Raw genomic sequence first — 21,427 nt, forward strand, 5'->3', positions numbered from 1 at the left:
CATTTGTCATCAGAACACCGTCACTGTCGTTATGAGCTATACTGCTCTCCCTGCAGGTGTATCCTGCAGTCACATGGATGTGCGCTTTAGGGAGTGCAAAATAAAAGAGATTGATGCTTTCGTAGTGCTTATGATCTAGATAGATTTGATATAAATAAGCAAACATGATGAGGGGAACCCAAATCCCAACAATGGAAATGAGCTATGACACATATGTATGTGTTATGTTGCACGTATATATGGTTATGTAGGTTCAGGTGTACTCCATTTTGACAGACGTCAATATATGAACACTTAAATATGATATTTGGAAATGGAGGAGGGATTTTAACATTATAAGAAATCCTTTATGAAAGATCCTTTACTTCAGATATTCTCCAAGTAGTAAGTTCTTCACCATTAATGCAGTGGTCCTCGAGTGGGGATGATTTTGCCTCCCAGGGGACATTTGGCGAAGTCTGGAGACATTTTTGGTTGCCACAACTGCTGTGTGTGTGTGTGTGTGTGTGTGTGTGTGTGTGTGTGTGTGTTTGCTACTGGTGTCCAGTGGGAAGAGGGACCAGGAATGATGCTAAACGTCCTACAATGCACAGGACAACCATCACAACAAAGAATTATATGGCCCCAATGTCAATAGTGCCAAGGTTAAGAAACCCTAGTCTAATATACTTTATATATAATATATTACTTTTCAAAGGTGGTTTACACAAATGATTCAGAGCTATTGTATAAAACAAAGGATATCTGCCTTTGAAGGCAGGGCTGGTTGGGAGCGGGGGTGATGAGAGAATGTGTTGCTGGGTAATAGAAGAGGCTGGTGGGCTGTGAGCTGAGTTGGTGACATAAAGTGATGCAGGCTGACAGTGGCAAGGTGGCCCACCAGGGTGTGGCTGGCAGTGGGTGACAGCTGGAAGAAAGCATACTGGTTCAGGGATGGAGACTAGGGTGACAGAGAGAGGAACCCATGGGGAGACTGGCCAAGGTTTCTGGAACAGAGGGTGTGGGTAAAAGCACAAAGCCAGAATCAAAATTGAACTCTTGAGGGCAGGGAAGAGTTGGTGGAATTTGTGGTAATGGAAAAGGGCCCCAAACCTTGAGACGGAGCCCTGTGGTGGTGCAGAGGATGGGGAAGAACTGCCCCTGAGTGGCTGGAAGCAGAAGGCTTTAAGCAAGAGAGGGTGAACCTGGAGGGAAGAAAGGCAGGAAAACATGGCGGGAGGTATCTGCGGATAAGGAAAGCAGGTGTGTGGGGTGACTGCTCAAAAGCACATTCTGGGAGTCTCCAAGAGAGCTGAGGAAATTCTCTACAACAGCTGGTACCGAGGGAGCTGATGAGAGGGAAGTACCAAGGACAGCGCACGGGAAGGTCAGCATTCCCAATGCTCTGGAAACAGGAAGAATACAGATAACCAAGTGGGCACCGGTGAAGCCAAGGACCCATAAGATGATGGGATCATAAAAGCTGGAGCAGAGTGGGTGGTAGGGCGGGAAGCGGCTTGACTTCAGGCTGAATGCACTTGAGTGCTGAGAAAAAAGTGTTGTGCTTGACTATGAAAAAGTATCCATGGAGGCATGTGAGGTGGTGGATATGAACTCCATATGCAGAAAGTCAGCAGTCTCACCATTCCTCTGTAAGCCTGCCAGGCGTCTGAATCCATTTGCTCATAATGCTTTGGACTCCTACTGTTAGCTTTCATTGTGAGTAAGGGCAATGCATGCTCTGGATGAGGTTAGGGCATTCAGTGAAATCTCTGAAGGACATGTCTTTGACGAGACAGTTAATTCTCAGGAAAGAAAAGGAAAGAGCTCACGCTTTTGTCTGCACTTGGACTTGGTTTGGAAACGATTATTGCTCCTTACTTTGCTTTCATTTCTGGGTGCCAAGAGGCACTTTCATTTAACCTTTTGTACAGTGAATATGTTCTGTATTTTTAAAAGTTGTGGTATTGTTTTCTGGAGTGGTGTTTTCTCTGAACAGCATGTGTGTGGCAGTACCTAATTTAAAATCCTAACTTTCCATCAGCGTCCTTAAGTTACATACGCATTGTTGAAAAATCTATGATTGCATTAACCACTTAACTATTACATTTAAAAGAGATTATTTATTTAGTACTCAACAGTTCACTGGGTGGACTGATCACATCTGTGTTTAAATTAAAAAATTCAAGTATAGGGGAAGAATAAGGATGGGAGAGAGAGGGAGAGAAAGAGAAGATAGAGGAAGAAAGAGATGGAGGGAAAGTAGGAGAGAGAGACAGAGGGAGAGGAAGAAGGAAAGGAAAGGAAAGCTTGAGAAAGAAACATTCCCCAATTTGCTACTTAATTTTCATTTCAAATGCCTATGTAATTGTTCACCTGGAGTCAACAGAGCTACAGAACACACACACACACACACACACACACACACACACACAGACAGAATTCTATCTCCAAGTCAGAGGAACAATGAAAGCAGATTCAGAAAGCACAGTCCTGTGTGGAGTTTCTGCTTCAGTTATTAATTTTTATTCCTGCACAATTAAAAATGTGGTTGTAGAGCAACAACATATACAATCAGAACCAAAACTGAATAGGACAACCCTCCCCCACCCCCACCCCCACCCCCATCTCCTCGATCCTGGCTTAAAAACAGGAAATTCTTATTCTCTTGGACATGATAAGCATCTCTGACAACTTTTCAAACATGCAATTCCTATCAAGTAAGATGGCATGTAGAAGGTCAAGCAAAGAATCCCGTGGAGGAGAGTCGCCCAGGGCAGACTCCTAGGAAGGTTTCTGTTTCAACAGACCCGGCTGGTCCAGACTAAATCGAGAGGTTGACCTGCAAAGCTGCCTTCAGAGCAGCCAGATGCAGATGCAGGCTGTTCGGGAACTTCGGAATGTGATTAGTATTTGTGATGGAAACAGCTAGCACTTCCACCCACAAAAGGATTTTTTTTTTTTTTTAAAGAAAGAAAAGAGAAAAAAAAGTCAACTTTTTACTTTGCTGCAACCTCAGCCACAGAGCAGAAAGCACAACAAATAACCTGTCTGCCAATTCTCCTCCATCTGATTCCAAACTTACTGCCTTCTTCTCCTGAATTTGCAGGGGCCAGAAGTGTGCAGCCAGCACTGGCCCCGTGAGGACTTAGCATAGCATTTCACAGCTATGTCACTAGAATTACAGTAAATATCATATCTTCTGAGTGAATGATAGGGTTCTTTTCATTTGTCCCTAACTTTTGAAAATTAAAAATTTGTTTTTTCATAATCCATATGAAAAATAAGACAGACATTACATTCTGCATTTTAGGCCTCCTCAATGTGAAAATTACATCGGTTTTCCCCTCCTCAATTCTTGAAGCTTTATTTTAAATGTGATTCAATGAACTGACATCTGACTCTTCCTTAGTTCGTGTTCTTAATGCTTCCAGAACTTGATAACTTATTCTGTCGGCTATGAATGCAAAAAAAAAAAAAAAACTTTGTAGAAAAACAATCCAAGGGAAACTAAAAGTTATTCTAAAGTCTACCAATTAAGATAACCATTCTTAACATTGGGTAGTGTAGCCTTCCTTTATTTCACCAGTTTGTACCTATAATTTTTTTATAAGATTGTAATTTTTTTTTACAAGATTCTCTGTATATTAGAAAATAAAGGCTAGGAAATAAGCCATCCTTAAAAAAATAAAGAAAAAGTTAACACAGCTGCAGTATTGGAGTTTATAAAGCTGTAATGACAGCCATGAACACAGATGAAGCAATTATGAACTTTTATCTATTGTGAATAGATAAAAATCCAATTGGAAAATGAGGCCTACCCCACTGAACACCTGTTTATGGTCTTAATTTTGCCTTAACGAGACACTACTGATGTCATTCAACACAACAAAAATCAATAGTGGATCAATATGGATAAACATGTTGGGTACAACCTTTTGTCCTAAGAGACAGTTAACAGCTGGGTTTAGTTTTACTGGGATTTACTCGAAGACTTGTAAAAGTAAATAATGGTGCATTTAAGAATATTTGCCTGTTTTGATTTAGTGAGTTTGGCAGGTGGCGGTGGCCTTTCAATGACATATGGCTTTGAAATTACATCAATATATGCATACAATGTGTCTTTTCCTTTAGTTCATGCATCAAATTAATTAATAAAGAACCCCTGGTTTAACATTTTATAAGCAAATATTCCCCAGTGTTGGTTGAAGAAAATACAGTGAAAAGATAAAAGAGAAAAGAGCCTGAAACGTTCTGCAGGAATTTTTAAGAACAGCAGAATGAGCACATAGATTGACAGGTACCAATATTTTCTTACAACACTACAAAAGGCATATCCAAGTATGTTTAATGAGGCAATGTTAATTTCTTCTTTTCAAAGTTAAATTACTTATACTATTAAATGAAATAGCACATGTTCAATGTACCTCAAATGTTTCCATTAGGGGACTTACCCTGTGTATCCCTTGTAATAAATGAGATTCTGATGACCTTCAAAAGGATGCAAAACTCTATATTTATAAATAAAAATCAAGATGAGAAACTCTAAATATATTTCATGCTGTAATCCCCTTAATATTTCATGATTGGAAGTTATAGAATAACATTATATATAGTAAAAATTACAGATTCTAGTTTTTGTTTTTATAAAATTTTGTTCATTTGTTTTCATAACAGACTACTTTCAATTATAAAGTCACATTAAGAAAAGCAAATGATAAATTTTATAGAAACCACAACTAAATAAACCACATTATGTTTTAAGATTAATTTAACAGAGAAATTTACCTTTGAGGATCAAAGGGCATCATGTTTTTGTAAATTATAGAAACTCGTAAATTTGGTTCTCTATGCAATATCCTATAGATTATATACAAAAGCATGAGATTCTGGCATATCTGCACTAGCATTTACACTATCTTCAAAAGCATTCCTATCTGGCAGTTGCTACTTAATGTTCTACCTGTTTGCCTCCCTTATTTTATTTTTCAGTATCTTATTTTTCAGTAATACAAGAAATGTTCTATTGACAGAAATTTAAATAGCATTATAAAGCCACAGTGTCTATTAAGATAAATGGATATCGTACTGGTTTTAATATTGGCTATTTTGAAGTGTGTTTCACTTGCTTTCATAAAGAGAATTCACTTGATATGATTACAGACATGTTCAACTTTAGGGACAAAATAGCAAAGTAAAGTTTCTCAGTTTTTGAGTTTTACATCTTACAGTTTGACATGGTTACAAATAGATTCTTTACTGTTTACATGGATAAATAAATACATTAAAATGAACATTTACAGATCCTAGCAAATCAACATTAGTATAGTACTGTTAAAGAAATCACTAAATCACTAAATATTTTACTAGTTAACTAGTCAACTAAAATAAACTTTCAAAATGAAGTGCCAAGGAAAAGTCAAATGAGTTTTTAATCTGAACCTGAACTAGAGAGAATTATCTCACTTCAAACACCACAACACCTACCCGCCAGAAGGAAACCTTTCACATATTTTCTTTCGCAAAGAAGCCAACAATAGTCACTTTGGGCAATATATACACACACATGCAAAATACAGAAAGGCAACTCACTCCAGCTTTCAAAGATGAAGAAAAAAAGTGCTTGGAAATCTTGATGTTCACAGAGTCCTTCAATCACCTAGCAACCCCTCTTACTGCCGTTTTTAATTTCAAATATTTAGCGTTCAAATTCAAAGATTTGACGAAGCTGATGTAAACTGTAACTTTAAAATGAAACGAAAACAAACAGTGAAACTTTGAACAAATTTAAGCAAAATGGTCCCTACCTTTTTTTTGAGAATACGATGGCGACTGCACTTGAGAAAAAGTAGGCTTTTCTTCAGTGAAATATTCAGGTTGGCTGTATTGATTCAGGGCCATGTCCAAGTCAGAGTCCTTGCTTTTAAACATGTTTCCAGGGTAACTACAGGTATAAGGCTGATTCACTGCCCAGGCCTGTTCCATATATATGTTGTTACTGGGCACAGCCTGAGCATCGCAACCGCTGTAACCCGGACTATCTTCAAAATACGCGTAATAATCAGTGGACTGCATGTAGCAATTGCTGCCGGCAGCTGGGTGCACTTCATATATTTCTTGCATACAGTAGTTCATTTTGTTTCCCTGGTTCAGTTTCTAGTTTACATATACACACAGTCTACGCATGCATTCTCCAGCCCCATACACCCTGAGAGCTGGGCATATACGCAGAGAAGCATACATACATACACATGAAACGCGAAGGGAAGATGAATAAACACCACCACCAACACAGCAACCCAGCCTGCTTTACTTTGTAATAGCACCTGATGTGCTAAAATCCTATTTAGACCGAGGTGTCTTTTGAGCTCTTCTGCCATCCAAACATATTGGAAAGCAGATTTATGACTATCAAAGGTCTTAAGCTGTGCATGCAGCTAGTTAATTCCTGGGGAAGATGGCAGGCAGGTAGGAATGACCTCCACCCAGATAGGGAAGTGACAGCGAGAATGTTACTCTGAAGCTGCTAAGATGCATTTTATATGCTGTTTTTAACCCCTTTCAACATGATTATAAAACGATTACTCATTGTTATGTCATTTTGGTTGACAGCTTAAGCATGAAACATTATAAAGACATCTTAGAGAATATCCTTGGATACAAAGAAAATCCTAAAATCAATAATCTAGTTTATTAGCATGAACCAGAGAAAATCCAGTAGTAATGAGCCTGATGACTGACTGACTCCAAAACATTAATCTAGCTGTGCAAATATTGGTGGTTGAATCTGTTGTTGAATGTTACTGACTGGGTTTTCATACTAGGATCCAACCATCTTCCCATGACACATAGGTCCCGCTGGTTTTTAAAACATGCCAAGGAAGTACACGGTTGAAAATGCTGCTGATGTCTGCAAGTGAGTTTTATTCTGTTCCTTGCGCATGATTATTTTCTACTTCATAAGCACTAATCTACATGAGACCTAAAGCTTACATTAACTGTTCAATTCTGTAATTTATGTTTTCTTTATAAAGGCATGAGAGACTGTATGCCAATGCCCCTATATGAGGAATACCCCTATTATATAGCAGCTTTCCTTTTCTGTTGGTGCTTAACAGTACTCTGATCAGTAGTGCGTGGAAAACTGTAAACACTTACCACTTTATTCCCATTCAAATCTGCTTTTGAGATTATTTTCAAGATTTAATGTGATTTAAGTGGTATTCATGTACTTACTTAAAGATAGTGATCAAAAAGGGAACAGCATTTTCTGTAAGAATCATCATATCTTTTAACTAAGGAGTTAACAAATACCAAATTAGATTGTGAATGCTTGCTAGGATGATTACTAATGGTATTTTCTCCCTGTGGATGGTGGCCAGTGTGTGCATGTCACATATATGCATAGTTGTAGATCATGACATCAGGAAGGGCGGATGCTGCTCTTCTACACTAGGGATTCCTTCCGTTTCTTAGGCAGCTTGTTTTCAGGGCTCGGCCTCAGGTGGTTACGTTTACATTTGGCTTCCTGCTGGTCCATGAGCATGTGACCTTGTTGGTATTTGTCTCTAAAGGACCATCAACAATGTAATACTGTAATTTTCAACAGTGAGACCTTTGCTTTGGACATGTAGCTCCAGTCATCAATTGCAACGTGGAATTCTGGGACAGGGACATATGGCAGAAGTAAGGAGGGTATTACAGTCATTCAACAAATTATGGGGTGTCTGTTAAGTACAAAGCAAGGAGTTGGTGGCTACAGAGATGGCTGTTCAGAAAAAAAAAATCACCGTCTCTGTCAATAAGTAGCTTAATAGCATGTATATTAAATATACAGTCAAGTGGACCACCATTGTGCTGTCTTTAATTGCTGACTTTTTATAAATGTAGTAAAGGAGCCATAGACTCAAGGGAAAAGGTGGGGAATTGTAGAATGAGCTAAAGATGTGACAAAATTAGAAAAGAGACCCAGGCAGACCTATGTGGAGGATAGTAATAAGACTCCTTTAAAAACTGCAACTGATATAAAACAAGCAAAAGCATGTTCGTCAGTTGGTATATATTTGAACCTGGAAAATGAATCACAATATCCTAGAAAGCATGAAAAGTTACCATAAGGAATAAAGAACACAGCTAACATTTTAATCGTGTTTTTACTTTCTGATTACCATTAAAACAAATGAAAGATTTATTCAGTGTTACTAAGAACACATACACAATATTACAATTAACATTTTCTCCCTACTGGAAATGTCAAAACATTTCATTGGAAGCAATAACTATTTTCTGAAAACCCCAGGAAAAAGGATCCAGGCCTTATGTTTTTTTGTCTGATGTCATTTATTTATCTCAAATTTCCCAAGCCTAATCTGAAAATTAACCTTTCAATAAAGCAGTTTTCTTTTTTGGCAAATGCACATGTTCCAAAGTCTCTTTTTCTGGTTAAGAGCTGCGTGTTGAATCCATTCGATTTTGCAGTTTTGCCCAGTGCATTTCCTGGCTCCCTCTCTTTCTCATTAAAGGCAGAAATCCAAGCAATTTCTTGCTTTTCATCAGTAACAATATCAACGAAAATCAGAGACTCAACTTTTATTCCAAAGGAATACTTAAAAATAATTTTCAGAAATCTCTAAATATGCTTGAAAAATTGGAGAGTTATTCTCCCCTGGAACTGGATATAAATACTGCAGTGAAAAAGGAAAGAATAGCTGCTGAAAAACTTTCTCTCTCTTTTTACTAAACGTCAGAAAGGTCAACAGTATTTTTATTGAATTTAAAAAATCCTGAATTCCCTCAGAAATCTTTAAATTAAAAAAAGTTTCAAAACATATTTAAGAGAGCTCACTTCCTCACGAATGTTTATTGTTTGGAGAAAAGAGAACAAAACATTCTGAAACACTCCTCATACCAAGTGGGAATACTCTTTACTTGTAACGAATGCACAAAACTTTCATTACTATTAGTTGAAAATGGAGCTCAACACTTACATTGAATTTGAAATATGGCCCCTCACATCCTGATAGAAGCAATCACATCTGTCACCTGTGATTCAGTCTTGCATGCTTCTTTGTAAAGTCAGTAAAGCAATCTAAACATATTATGTGTCACAAATGGGGTAAGCTTCAGTGAGGTTGTTGTCTTATTTTCTTGATTGCCTGCTCTAATTATTTAAAGAGCAGCTTAAGAGTTATTTCACTTATAGTGCATCCAACTGCCTTAAATAAACTCAGGAGGACTTTAATAATTCCGATTAGAAGTGTTTCAATCAATAATATATATATATATATATATGCGCCTAGGTGTGACTTATAGAAAGTCCGCTTTAATAATTATGGGTGAAACTTTAGCATCAAGATTTTTAAAAGAAGTTCCTGAGGTTATTTACATAAGTAGCAACATTTGAGAACCACTTGTTCTACTAGGTGTCTGACCCCAGTCCCTTCACCAAGGAGCAGGAAATCCTGTGTACTAACTCCTTTTTCTTCATTTGCAGCTTCACTACATATTTCCCTTAGTTCTTAGCAATTTACCCTCCACACTTCAACCAGGCTTCACCTGCCTTTGAGTTAACCAGTCAAGCAGAGGAGGCAGCACAAAAGGAGGCACGCTAGGAAAGAACGAAATACAAGGAGAAGTGTAATAAACTTGGCATGGGGACACAGGAGTAATCTGCCTAGAGTGCCAGGGATGGCTTCACAGAAGAGGTGACCAGTGAGCTGGAAGAGTATGTAGGACATCATCAGTGGAGGCCTAAGATATGAAATGGCTGAGCAGAAATGTCTTAGGAAGGGTGCTATCAACTAACTGTACTTGCAAAAATACACATAAAGAAAGATAATTGATAAGCTTTAAAGCAACTGGTCAGAGCCTTTTAACTTCCACTCTAATGATTGTTCTCACTTTCTGTTTTAGTAATTGAACCGCTAAATTTTAGTTGGGCTCATGGCCCCTGAGAAAAAAACTATACGTCCCAGTTTCCCCTTTGTCAATATGTGTCTGTGTGACTAACTTCTGGCCAACGAGATGTAATAGAAGAAGTGTTGCAAGGCAATTTCTAGGAAACTTAAAAGACACATTAAAAGACAACTGGTGCATTCCATTTGCCTCTACTTTGTTTTGACTTTCTGCTCCCTGCAATGACTGGAGCCCCAGCCATCATTTTGGTCCATGAGAGTGAGGACTATACTCTAGGGATTACGGAAGAATGATCTGGAAAATTCTAGGTTGCTGAAATACACAGAATTGCCATACTAGCACTGGACTGCCAACTTCTGGACTTCTTTTTTTCTCGAGACAGAAATAAACTTATTTAGGTCACAGTTTTCTTATTTGTAAAACAGATAACGGTAGTCACTTCATTGGTTATTGTGAAGATTAAGTGAGTTTATATAAGTAAAGCACTTAGAATGATGACTGGCCTAGTAAGTGACATAATTATATATACATAATAATTATAATAATATATATTATATATATATATTATAATATATATCTCTTAGGTCTTGTCTTGGGCTACTTCTCAGTCTATACTCTAGGTCACAGGTCAGCAATCTTCAGCCTGTGGGCCAAACATGACCCACCACCTGTTTCGTAAATAAAGTTTACTGGAATACAGCTTTTATTTGTTACATATTGCCTGTGGCTGCTTTTGTGCTACCATGGCAGAGTTGAGTAGTTGCAAGAGAGACCTTATAGCCTGCTGAAAATATTTACCACCTGGTATTTTGGAGAAAAAGTTTGCCAAGCCCTGCTCTAGCTGATCTCATCCTGTCTCACAGCTTTAAATACTAATTATATGCAACATCCATGTGGATATCTCCATCGCAGATGTCACCTCTGAAACCAGGATCCTATATCCAACCATCAACTTGACATCTCCATTTGCCCAACCAGGGCATCTCCAACTTAATTCTTTCTAAAACCTGTTCCTCTCACAGTAGTCCCATCTTGGCACCACCATCCACCTGGGAGCTTAAGCAAATAACCTTCAAGACAACTCTTTTCTTCCCTTCACTACCTAAATCCAATTCATTAGCAAGTTCATTGGTTCTTCCTCCAAAATATATGTTTAATCCAACTACTTCCTTCTCTCCGCTGCCATCTCGCAGTCCAATCCATCATCATCTCCTAACTGGACTCCCTTCTGGCTTTCTCATTAGCTTTGGCCCACTTTAATATTTTCTTGACACAGCCACCAAAGAGTGATGTTTTACAGGCTGCAAATCAGATAATGTTTCTTCCTTGTTTAAAACCTTCAGTGGCTTTGTACTGTATTTAGAACAAAATCCAAACCTCTACCAAAAGGTGGTCCTTCCCCACTACTTATCAACCCTCCTGCTTCCTTGACATAAACCAAAATAGCATCCTTATTATTCCTTGAGCACTCCAAGTTTTTGCCTGCCTCAATTCAAGGACGCTGCACATGTTCTTCTGTCTGTCTGATATATTCCTCCCTTTAGCTCTTCACAGGACAGAGCCCTTCTCATTTGTTTGGATGGAGCCTAAGTGACATTTTGTGTGTCAGGAACCTCTTGATACCATCAGAGGCCTGAAAGCCCTGACACTCTTCATATACATAACAACACTTGCTCTCTCAGAAAAAAGATGGAGGACTCTCTGCACCAAAATCCATGTGCATTTAAAAAAAAAAAAGATAAAATGTTACATATTGCAATAAGTGGATTATCTTAGGCTTGAAAGTTTCTGGGAGATATCTGTCTGTCTAAAATCGATCCAGTTTGTTCTTTTATATCTTCGTCACAAGAGAACAGAGATAGAGCTGTTTATTAAACTTACCTCAGTTGAGGTTATGGAATTACAAGTAACCATCATCAGTGCCAATCATCTCTGCCCCAAAAGAGATGATAAAAAGGATTGAGACATTTGCTGCCCTTTGAAGTAACTACTCAAATTGAGGAAAGTTTCCTTTAAAAATGTAAAGAAGCATGAGTCTCGATCTTACCACTGAAGTGCTGAAAGCACATCTAATACATTTTGGCGGAAACCAAAGAGGTGCACAAAAACTTTTTGACCATGCTTTCTTGGATTGTTGAGGTCTGGAATCTTCGGACTCATTGCTTTTGAAAAGGACTTCAAATCAGTTCAACTCCAGAGATGTGAGCAGGGCAAGCTCCTGGGACTTCCGGAGCACCCAACTTTAAAGCAGCCCTCCCTCCAGACGCTAACACATATGGAACACTTATGGAGGCTGAGACCTGTTTTATGTTTTCTTAGGATCCTAGGATATTACAGCAGGAACTTCTGAGCTATGCATTCCACATGTATTTTATCTGATTATGAGAAAACTGAATCCCAAGGGGATGAAGTGACTTGTCACATGGTAGGTGGTAGCCGTTGAGGCCGTGACCCACTCCTGCTTTGACTGTATCATTTCTCCTATTGTAGGTGGGGCCTTTATTTTCCCACCTGGGCCTAGTGTTCTAGGGTTAAAAAGGTGCTGTGGAGGAAAGGGAGTAAAGGAACTTGTCTTAGGCCTGGGGATTGACTGTCCCTCCTCAGCATTTCTGCCAAATAATATAAAGCCTTGAGTCACTAGATCATGCAAAACTCTAACCATTTTAGAAACTTTTACTTCCTCAGTCCTGGGAGTGTTAATTAGCATGGCTCCTCCTCCCCTACCACTACTGTAATGGTGTAATTCTTAATAAATGAACACCATGGCTACTGGGTTAATATTCAGATGGTGTTCCCTAAGTGGTCCCATAATACAGTCCCAAGAGATGATCTAAAGAGAAAACAATAAAAATAAACTTTATAATCAAATGAGTTTGGGAAATGACACATTAATGCTCCTCTCTTGGAGATTCACACACACACAACTTTGAATGACTTTGTATAACAGCATTTCCTAAACATTTCTGATCATAGAACCCTGTGTGTATCTTGTAACATTTGTTACAAGTGTTCCATGAAACATACTTTGAAAAACCTAGTCATCTGCTCTGTTGGATATATATGCTGGAGCTTAAGGCACGGATACATAACAGTGCATTTCTCAGATTACACACCAAGAACAGAGAGAAGAAATCTGCTGAAGGGGAGTGTCCTTTTTAGGGTCTTTACCAACGAGGAAAGCTGCCGGCCAGAAGAGGCAGGCTGGACACATGGAAATGCAAATCCCCAGGTGGGCACAGGACAAGACCAGGGCCTCTTGGGCTCTTGAATTAAGTCTGTTTCAGTAGGAATAGAAACTCAAAGCTCTTCTCTTTTAAAACATATTGTTAACTGAATTTGTTTCTAATTTTTTCCCTTGGCATTTCATAAAAGCTTTTGATAGTTCTAGCCCATTACAGCTCTACAAAAGGGCACTAAGGGGAGACTTTTGTTCACAATCGATCACCAAGCAGAATATGCTTTTACAAAAATGTGCTTGAAAAAGTGACAGTGTTTTACTAGTGAAAAGGGAATGGATTCTGATCTGGTGCAGTGGAAAAAAATTGGCTCTGATTAGAACATTGAAGCAGGAACAAGACAGTCTCAGGGACCAAGCTGATGGAAGCAGGCCCAGTAATTGAACTGAGAGATTTCCAAAGGGCAAGAGACTCTCATCAAGGCAGTCCTGGTGGCTTCCTCAACCTGGACACCCTCTTTGTGGGTCTAAATTTTGGAGTTGCATGTTTTATTTCACAAAGGTGGAATAATTGCCTCAGCACATTAATGCAAAAGATACCACAAACTTAGCTACAGCAGCCTTTTACTAGATGAAATATGTCAATTTCTAGGATGAGCAAGTTAAAAAGAACAGCCTTTTGTGGTTCCACAAAGATTATAAAAGAGTCCAAAATTCTTAGGTCAGTGATTCTCAAATGGTGGTTTCTGAACCAGCAGCATTAGCATATCCTGGAACTTCTTAGAAATGCAAATTCTGCAGCCCACCCCAGACCAACTGGATCGTAAACTCTGGGGGGTGGGGACAGCAAGCCCTCCAGGGGATTCTGATACTAGCCGAAGTTTGAGAACCACTGTCTTAGTAAAGGCTGAAGTTGCTCTAGCTAGTCTGTGTCAACTTTTCTAGCATCACTGGCTGTTACCTTGAGCCCTGGATTCTCAAAACTTCTGTCTTCTTCTGTTGGTTTTCTCCTGGTCCTGGCAGGTGTATTGACTTTGTCCTTGATCTAAAATGTTTTAGGCCTAATTAGGCTAGGAAGAACGGCGTGCTCCATGTGGCCAATGCAGCTCAATTTTCCTGGCCTCTACTTTGAGTTTTGGTGACCATGCACTACCAGTACCATAATACACAACAAACTTTATCACTGTCACTCCAGACTGTCAACAGGAGCAGTGATATCTGACATTTTTGGGTCTTTGGACATAATACTATCACAACAGCACAAGCTCTCTGCTTCCACCCAACTCCACAGCCAAACCTATTGATGGTATACCAGAAACCTCCATGTCATACAGCCTTTTCCCACATGTCTCCTCTATCCCTGGACAGTTCTTTTCAGTCATCTTCAAGGGATGATCTCCTCATCTGTCTTTTACAATTGGCCATAACTTTGGTTCTATTCTCAGCCCTCTTCTAACCATACATATTCTTCCAGGTGAAGCCATCAGTGTCTACAGCTTCAGCTATTGCCCGTGTGCAGATGGTGCTTAATCTCTCTTGTGCCTTCCAGACCTGCATTCCAGCCACCTACCAAACCCCTTTCTGTGGATGCCAAGGTACCTCACATACCAATTCTAAACTCAGTGTGTCAGATTCTGTGTTGGGTGTTTATATGCATCATCTTATTTAAACATCACAATAGTCCTACAGCAGCTATGACTGGCCACATTTTAAAAAAAATTTTTATTTTACTTCAAGTTCTGGGATACATGTGCAGGACGTGCAGGTTTGTTACATAGGTATACGTGTGCCATGGTGGTTTGCTGCACCTGTCAACCTGTCATCTACGTGTTAAGCCGGGCATGCATTAGGTATTTGTCCTAATGTAGCCACATTTTTTTAATAGATGAAAAAAAATCTATTTGTCTGAAGTGGCACAATGGTAATTTGAAGAGTGAGGATTCAAATCCAGATCTGTTCAAGTAGAAATTACATACTTGGACTTTTCGTTACAGCTTGCTTATCTCTCTGTAGCTTTGCCACAGCCTCTAGTCACAAAGGGCCAACTATTCTATGCTGTTACTATTTTAATTAAACTAATCATTTCATTTTTAAGAGAAAACTTGGCTAACCCAAGAGGTTTCTATACCTCTCATCTTACTCTGATCTTTCCATTCATCCACCACGTTGCAGCTAGGGGAATTGATTTTAAAGGAGAATCTAAAGCATGTCACCTGTTACCCCTCCCACAACCCCAATCCTAGCTTGCAATAATCTTTAGTTTTTAAGATAAAGCTTAAAGACTTAGAAGTCTTTTGCAATGTAGCTCCTGACTACTTTCTACTCTTATCTCTTGCCACTTTCTCATATGACCTGAATGCTGGCCATTTGCAGTTTTGTTGAACAGCATCTCTCTGGCTTGGTCACACACAGTTTCCTGCGTACAGTGGCCCATGCACTGTGCTAACCACTTTCCTATAGATTATATCATTTAAGCCTCACAGCAATCCTGCTTGTAGACATGACTGTTCCTGTTTTAGAGATAAGGAAACTGAGACTCAGGGAGGTTCCATAACTTGCCCACAGTCATAAGACTGATAAGTGGTATTCTCAATGCATGCAAATACCATATTTATGTCCAAAATGGTATGTCTCTGTTTTGCTGCCCTTATGCCATTTAGCAGCTTACGCTGGAGTCTGGGAAACTGTAGGGCTATAGTGACTGACATGCAGTGATTCTTCGTGGTTTGTCATCTGTCCTCTTTGATGAGTCCAGAAACTTAATCATGTCAGACAAGGGAATTTATACACTCAGAAAATTACTAAACAATCTTTGCTGGATGTTTAGTCCATGAAATCCTCTTCTGCATATTGAGAAACAATATATAGTCTGATTTCAGCCTAAATTCAAGATTTGTTCCATTTAAGTTTTCAAGTAATGGGTTGTAGGGTCCAAAATTCCCAGACACGTTTTTACTATTCCAAGCCCTTTCTTGCATAGTATTTCCAGTGGATGGAACAGTGCTGATTAAAGACTGGAGTCCTAGCATAGTGTCTTTCACATAAGAACTCTGGGATAACGATCAAGGGTTTTATTCTGACTGATATTTCCCAAGAAGACCAAAGGCAAATCATAAAGTCTTCTTGTGCTTTGAGAGAATGAGATACTATTCAAAAAGAGCTCAGGATCCACACCAAAAGAAAAATGCACATATACAAAAGTGAACAGAATAGTATTCGTAAGGCTGGAGATTGAAAGAAAAGTGAAAAATTTGAAATATACTTCAGACCACTGTTATCATCATTGAAGTCTTCTATTTGCTAAGCCAACAGTGGAATGTCTGCTCTTTTTTATAAATGAACATTTGATTCAAAACCAACCTTAATGAATCTAATATAGTCTGATGTGGCTTGAATATCATGGCATAAAAAAATGCAAAAATATTTCAGTTTTGGTGTACCTTTAATTAGACAATTGGCTACATAATAATGATGAGGTCTATTGCATGGTGTCTTTATAAACAATAAGATTGCTTGGGAAGGTATTTCCATTCATTTTGCACAGTGGAAAACTGAGGGGTGCTTTTCTTACTGTACATAATTACAAAGGGAAAAGGTTAGTATTGAAATTTAGGCCCTCAAGTTACTATTCTAGAAATCACTTTTCCCACTTCCACGCTATGCTTTTCTAAGTGGAAAATTATTTTATTGTTTTTGAATTTCTGGGTGACTAATAATGTGTTTCAACACAAATTCTAAGATCACTTCAATGATTTATCTGTTTTTCCAAAGATGTGCTTAATTTAATGTCACATTGTATATTTATTATAGTCAATATGTTTCCTTATATCTCTAGAAAAAAATGCTCTTCGATATTTTGTTTTTATAAATATCATTTATGTTTTGCTTGAATTTCACATAGCAACTCATTTAATGTATTTTTTAATTTAATCATTAGATAAAGTAGATATGTTTCCCCTTAATGTGTTAAGATAATTATTTCACTGTAATTCACAATGATCGACTTGATGTGAAAAGTTGAGTGGTTGTTTAAGTGGAATAATTTTGACATTTAACAGCTACAGTATACTTTCTTTATCCCAGAATAGCATGTCAGAGATTAATTTTAAAACAAATTTCCCTAATAATAGGAATAATGAATGAACAATTGAATCACCTGCATTTACTTTGCTTTTTCACCCTTAAGAACAACTAGTGCAAAATTTAGACTATGCCACAGCTGATGTAGTTTCAAAAGATTTATTCTTTGTCAGTAAAGGCTCCAGTCCTACATTATACTTGAAAATGTTATAAAAATAATAAAAGGTAAAAAGTTCAAAGTACTGATACATGCTACATTGTGGGTGAATCTCAAAAACAGTATACTAAGAGAAAGATGCCAGTCATACAAGACCACGTATTGTAGCATTCCACTTTTGTTAAGCTTCAGAAAAGGCAAATCTACAGGGACTGAAAGAAAAATGGTTGCCAGAGGCTGGGCACAGGAATGGGGAGTAACTGTAAACGACTCAAAGTTTCTTTTGGGATGATGGAAATGTTCTAAAATAAGATCCTGATGATGGTTGCATGCCTCTGTAAATATACTAACAATCATTGAACTATACACTTAAAACAGGGGAATTTGATGGCATGTAAATTATATCTCAGTGAAGCTTTACAAAAATAGATGCAGGGCTACAAACAGCTTGAGTTAATTAAGACTGATTCTCAAAATAAAATAAAGTTTACATCATTTATGTATCAATACCATGTATGTTATTCTCCCAGATCTAATGGAGATACACTATAGAAGGAAGACCTGGCCCTGACTCTGAAATTTGCAATCAAACTAAAAATACCTATCAGCAAGCAGAAAACAGTATCCCACACACTGAATACTTCAAGTGTTAAGTGAACATGGAGTAAAATGGAATCATTATTTTTGAAACAACGTAGGTTACATTCTTCATTATTCTTTCCTAAGACAAATGCCAGCCAGCCAATAGAATTTTCATCATCGCTTGGTTGTCAACAGAGTTACTGCTCATTGCAAGCCTAGACTCGAAGCTCTGCCAACATTTTCTGTTTGAAAAATCCTACGAAAAAAGGGGTGTGCATTTAACTTTTTATTCTCAGCATATAGTACAGTATTGGACACACAGAACACACTCAATTTAAAACATTGTCAGTATAAATTATGACGAATTCACCATCTGCAGTGAATCAAACAGGCATGTTCAGAAGCCACAATTAAATAAGGCAGAACACAATGAATACTTGTACAAAATTTCATCACAGCATTAAAAACAAAAATCCAAATTCATTCTGATGGGGCATGGGGGCGCACAGAGGAAGCGATGTCTGAATTGGGCCTTGAAGGATGAGTAGAGAAAAAGGATTTGTAAAAGTTTGCAAAAATAGGATCTACTTCATGTTGGTGCCCTTGAGATCCAAATCCAGAAATGGCAAATTGAAATTCTTCATTTTATTTCAAATGTCAAAATGTTCTAGAAAGTTACACAATAAATATCAAGGTTATCAAGACATACTCTGATCTTAGTTGTTTTGTAATGTAATATGATTGGATTGTGGAAAGAAAAGAATGTTTAGTTAAAATATGAGACGAGAATAAAGTGGCTGTGTCTTTTTTTTAATCTTCAGAAAAGTCTTCAGACCGTGGACAATGTGCTCTTTGCCCCTATTATGGAGAAAGGTGTTCCCTAGGTAAGTATCATCCTATGGGTCCAACCTTAAAAATGTCACAGGGGACAGAGAAACAAGTAACTTTTTCTTCTGACATTCACCTTTAGAGCATTGAATAGCTGCTTATTAGAGGACTTTAGAAAATATACTTTCTTCTAACCCAGTAAGATAATGAGCCAGCTCACCAGTAAAGATCTAGGCCTGCTCACACTAAGATATAAGTGGTTTGGAAGATTGAAAACTATTTCTGCATCATATAATTAAATTCAAAATTTTATAGGAACAAACACCGTATCATACAATTTTTTAGTATCTCTGTCCAAAATGTATAATCTGATTCTAATCATGAGGAAAGGCTGGGTGCGGTGGCTCATGCCTGTAACCCAGAGCAAAGGAGGCCAAGGTGGGTAAATCACTTTAGGCCAGGAGTTCAGGGCTGCAGTGAGCTATTAGCTCACCACTGCACTCCAGCTTGGGCAACAAAGTGAGACCTTGTCTAAAAAAAATCATGAGGAAACATCCATCAAACTTAAATTAAGGGACATTCCAAAATAATAATCAGCCTGTATTTTGTCAAGAAATATTTCTTCAATGGTGTGAACGACAAAGAAAAACTGTGAAACGGTTCCAGACTAACATGAACCTGGAGGACATTATGCTAAGTGAAATAGGCCAGGCACAGAAAGAAAAACACTCCATGATCTCCACTATATGTGGAATGGAAAAAGCTGAAATCGAAGCAGACTAGAGTAGAATGGTGATAACTAAGGTCTGCAGCGGGGAGGGTAGGTAGAACAGATAGATGTTCGTCAAAGGGTACATAATTTCAGTTAGATATTGCTAAAATGTTCTCACCACAAAAAATGATAAGGATATAGGTGATAGATATGTTAATTAGCTTGATTTAATAATTTAAAGCTGTATAATGTGGCAAAACATAACATGTACATGATAAATACATACAATTTTTATTTGTCCATTATACTCTAATAAAGCTGCACAGGTGGTGGGAGGAAGAAGCAGACTAAAGAGATAAAAAATAAATAAATAAAATGAATGATCCTGGCCTGGATCCCAGACCGGAAAATAAGATTGGTATAGAGGACAATTGGTGGTGGCCTCTCCCAGCCCTATCTAGAGGAATGAAGCCTGTGAAAACCCCTTAGAGACAAGTCCTCTCTCCAGCTCTGGTCCTCACCTCAACTCCCCCTCCAAGGGGGTGGCAGGAAGGATAATTTGTAAAATGTAAATAAAGTCTGTAGATTAGAAAATAGTAGGCATCAACGTTAAACTTCCCAATTCTGATAATTGTGCTATGGTGTCCTAAGATAATTTCCTTAGTTTTAGCAGGTATTTAGAGTTAAAAGGGCATGATGTTTATAACTTACTCTCATATGGTTTGCAAATGACATAATAATAATATGTATATATGCAAACAAACACATACAGAGAATGAGAAAAGAAATATGGTAAAATGTTAACAATTGGTGAATCCAGGTGAGGGGTATGGGAATTATTTGCACTATTACAACTTTTTGGTAAACCTGAGATTAATTTAGAACAAAATATAAAAAGGAATTTATAGGTCTGCCTGAGGAGCTCTTCCAAGAAAACGTACAATTTACTCAACCTTGAAGACTTAGTGGTCCTTTGCCACCAATTTTATTTTTCCACTTCAACTCTTAGAAACAGAATCCAACTCAGAAAGTAAGCAGATTTTCAATAAAACAAGTAATAACAAATAGCTTTTGATTCATTAAAAAAGGGGGTCAGATTGATTTGCATAATTTTATTTTTTAGTAGTGATCACCAGGCTTATATTCCTGATATCAAAAAGTCTTAAAAAAATCATAGAACGGGCATTCATTTCTTTTTTTGGGAGAACAAATAAGACTCAAGCATAGAATGATCGCTTCAAAGGAAATTTAAGAATGAGCATGTCGTGTGTAAGATAACAAGGAAAAGGTAACAAGAAAGAAATTCCCTATGTTTTGTCTTAAATATTAAGTGGGATGAACCCATTGCAGATACCTGTTTCCCTGGAAACCCATTCAATTGAAATTGCTGCAAAAATTAACATGTATTATTTTTCCCTTAAAGGGCAGTAGCTTCTTTTACTTACACAGTTTTGACCTTTAGTTTTGACCTTTAGTTTTATATCTTAGTCTTATTATAAGAAGTTATTTCCAGAACTAGGCAAACAAAGAGCTGAATACATATCTTTTCATTAGTCCTGAGGCTTAACTAAAATAGTATGGCCTTTATAGCTGTACTAGATGTCTGAGGCAACTATGGGTGGTTGGGGTACAATCTGCAAGTCATAGAATATTGCAGTCTAGACTAATAAACCATCAACCCACACATGATATTCTGACTCAAATGCCAAGTGTCTTTATCATATAGACAATTGAGTTAAACAGTCACATATGCAGCACAGCTCTGTATTTTAAAAGGCAGTAAAGTTGAATAAAGTCAAGTCCCTTATATAAGCCCATACTGACAAATGTCATGGGGACAGAGGTTCACAATATATAATAATCCTATGTCAGGTCAGTGCCATGGAGAATAGCTCTGGACCTTGGAGAATTTCTGACTCTAATCTTACTTGAAAAGCTCAGCTGTTTCTGAATTTCTGGGACCCGGGCAGTGTGGATAGAGGCTCATATTTATTCCAGT

At 37.9% G+C, this 21,427-nt stretch overlaps 1 protein-coding gene and 1 long non-coding RNA gene across 54 annotated transcripts in view; one reads left to right on the forward strand and one right to left on the reverse strand.

Annotated features, from left to right (window-relative positions):
* THRB (thyroid hormone receptor beta) overlaps window positions 1–21,427 on the reverse strand; it is a 378,556-nt gene that overhangs the window by 42,088 nt on the left and 315,041 nt on the right. The window lies entirely within an intron of this gene.
* Window positions 1–21,427, forward strand: part of THRB-AS2 (THRB antisense RNA 2) — a 38,633-nt gene that overhangs the window by 7,917 nt on the left and 9,289 nt on the right. Inside the window, exons 2-3 of the long non-coding RNA NR_121667.1 lie at window positions 14,544–14,664; window positions 18,710–18,772. This is a non-coding gene — a long non-coding RNA (THRB antisense RNA 2). The remainder of the gene's footprint in view (window positions 1–14,543; window positions 14,665–18,709; window positions 18,773–21,427) is intronic.

This window comes from Homo sapiens, chromosome 3 (genome assembly GCF_000001405.40).
Source record: "Homo sapiens chromosome 3, GRCh38.p14 Primary Assembly".
Taxonomy (NCBI): Eukaryota; Metazoa; Chordata; class Mammalia; order Primates; family Hominidae; genus Homo; species Homo sapiens.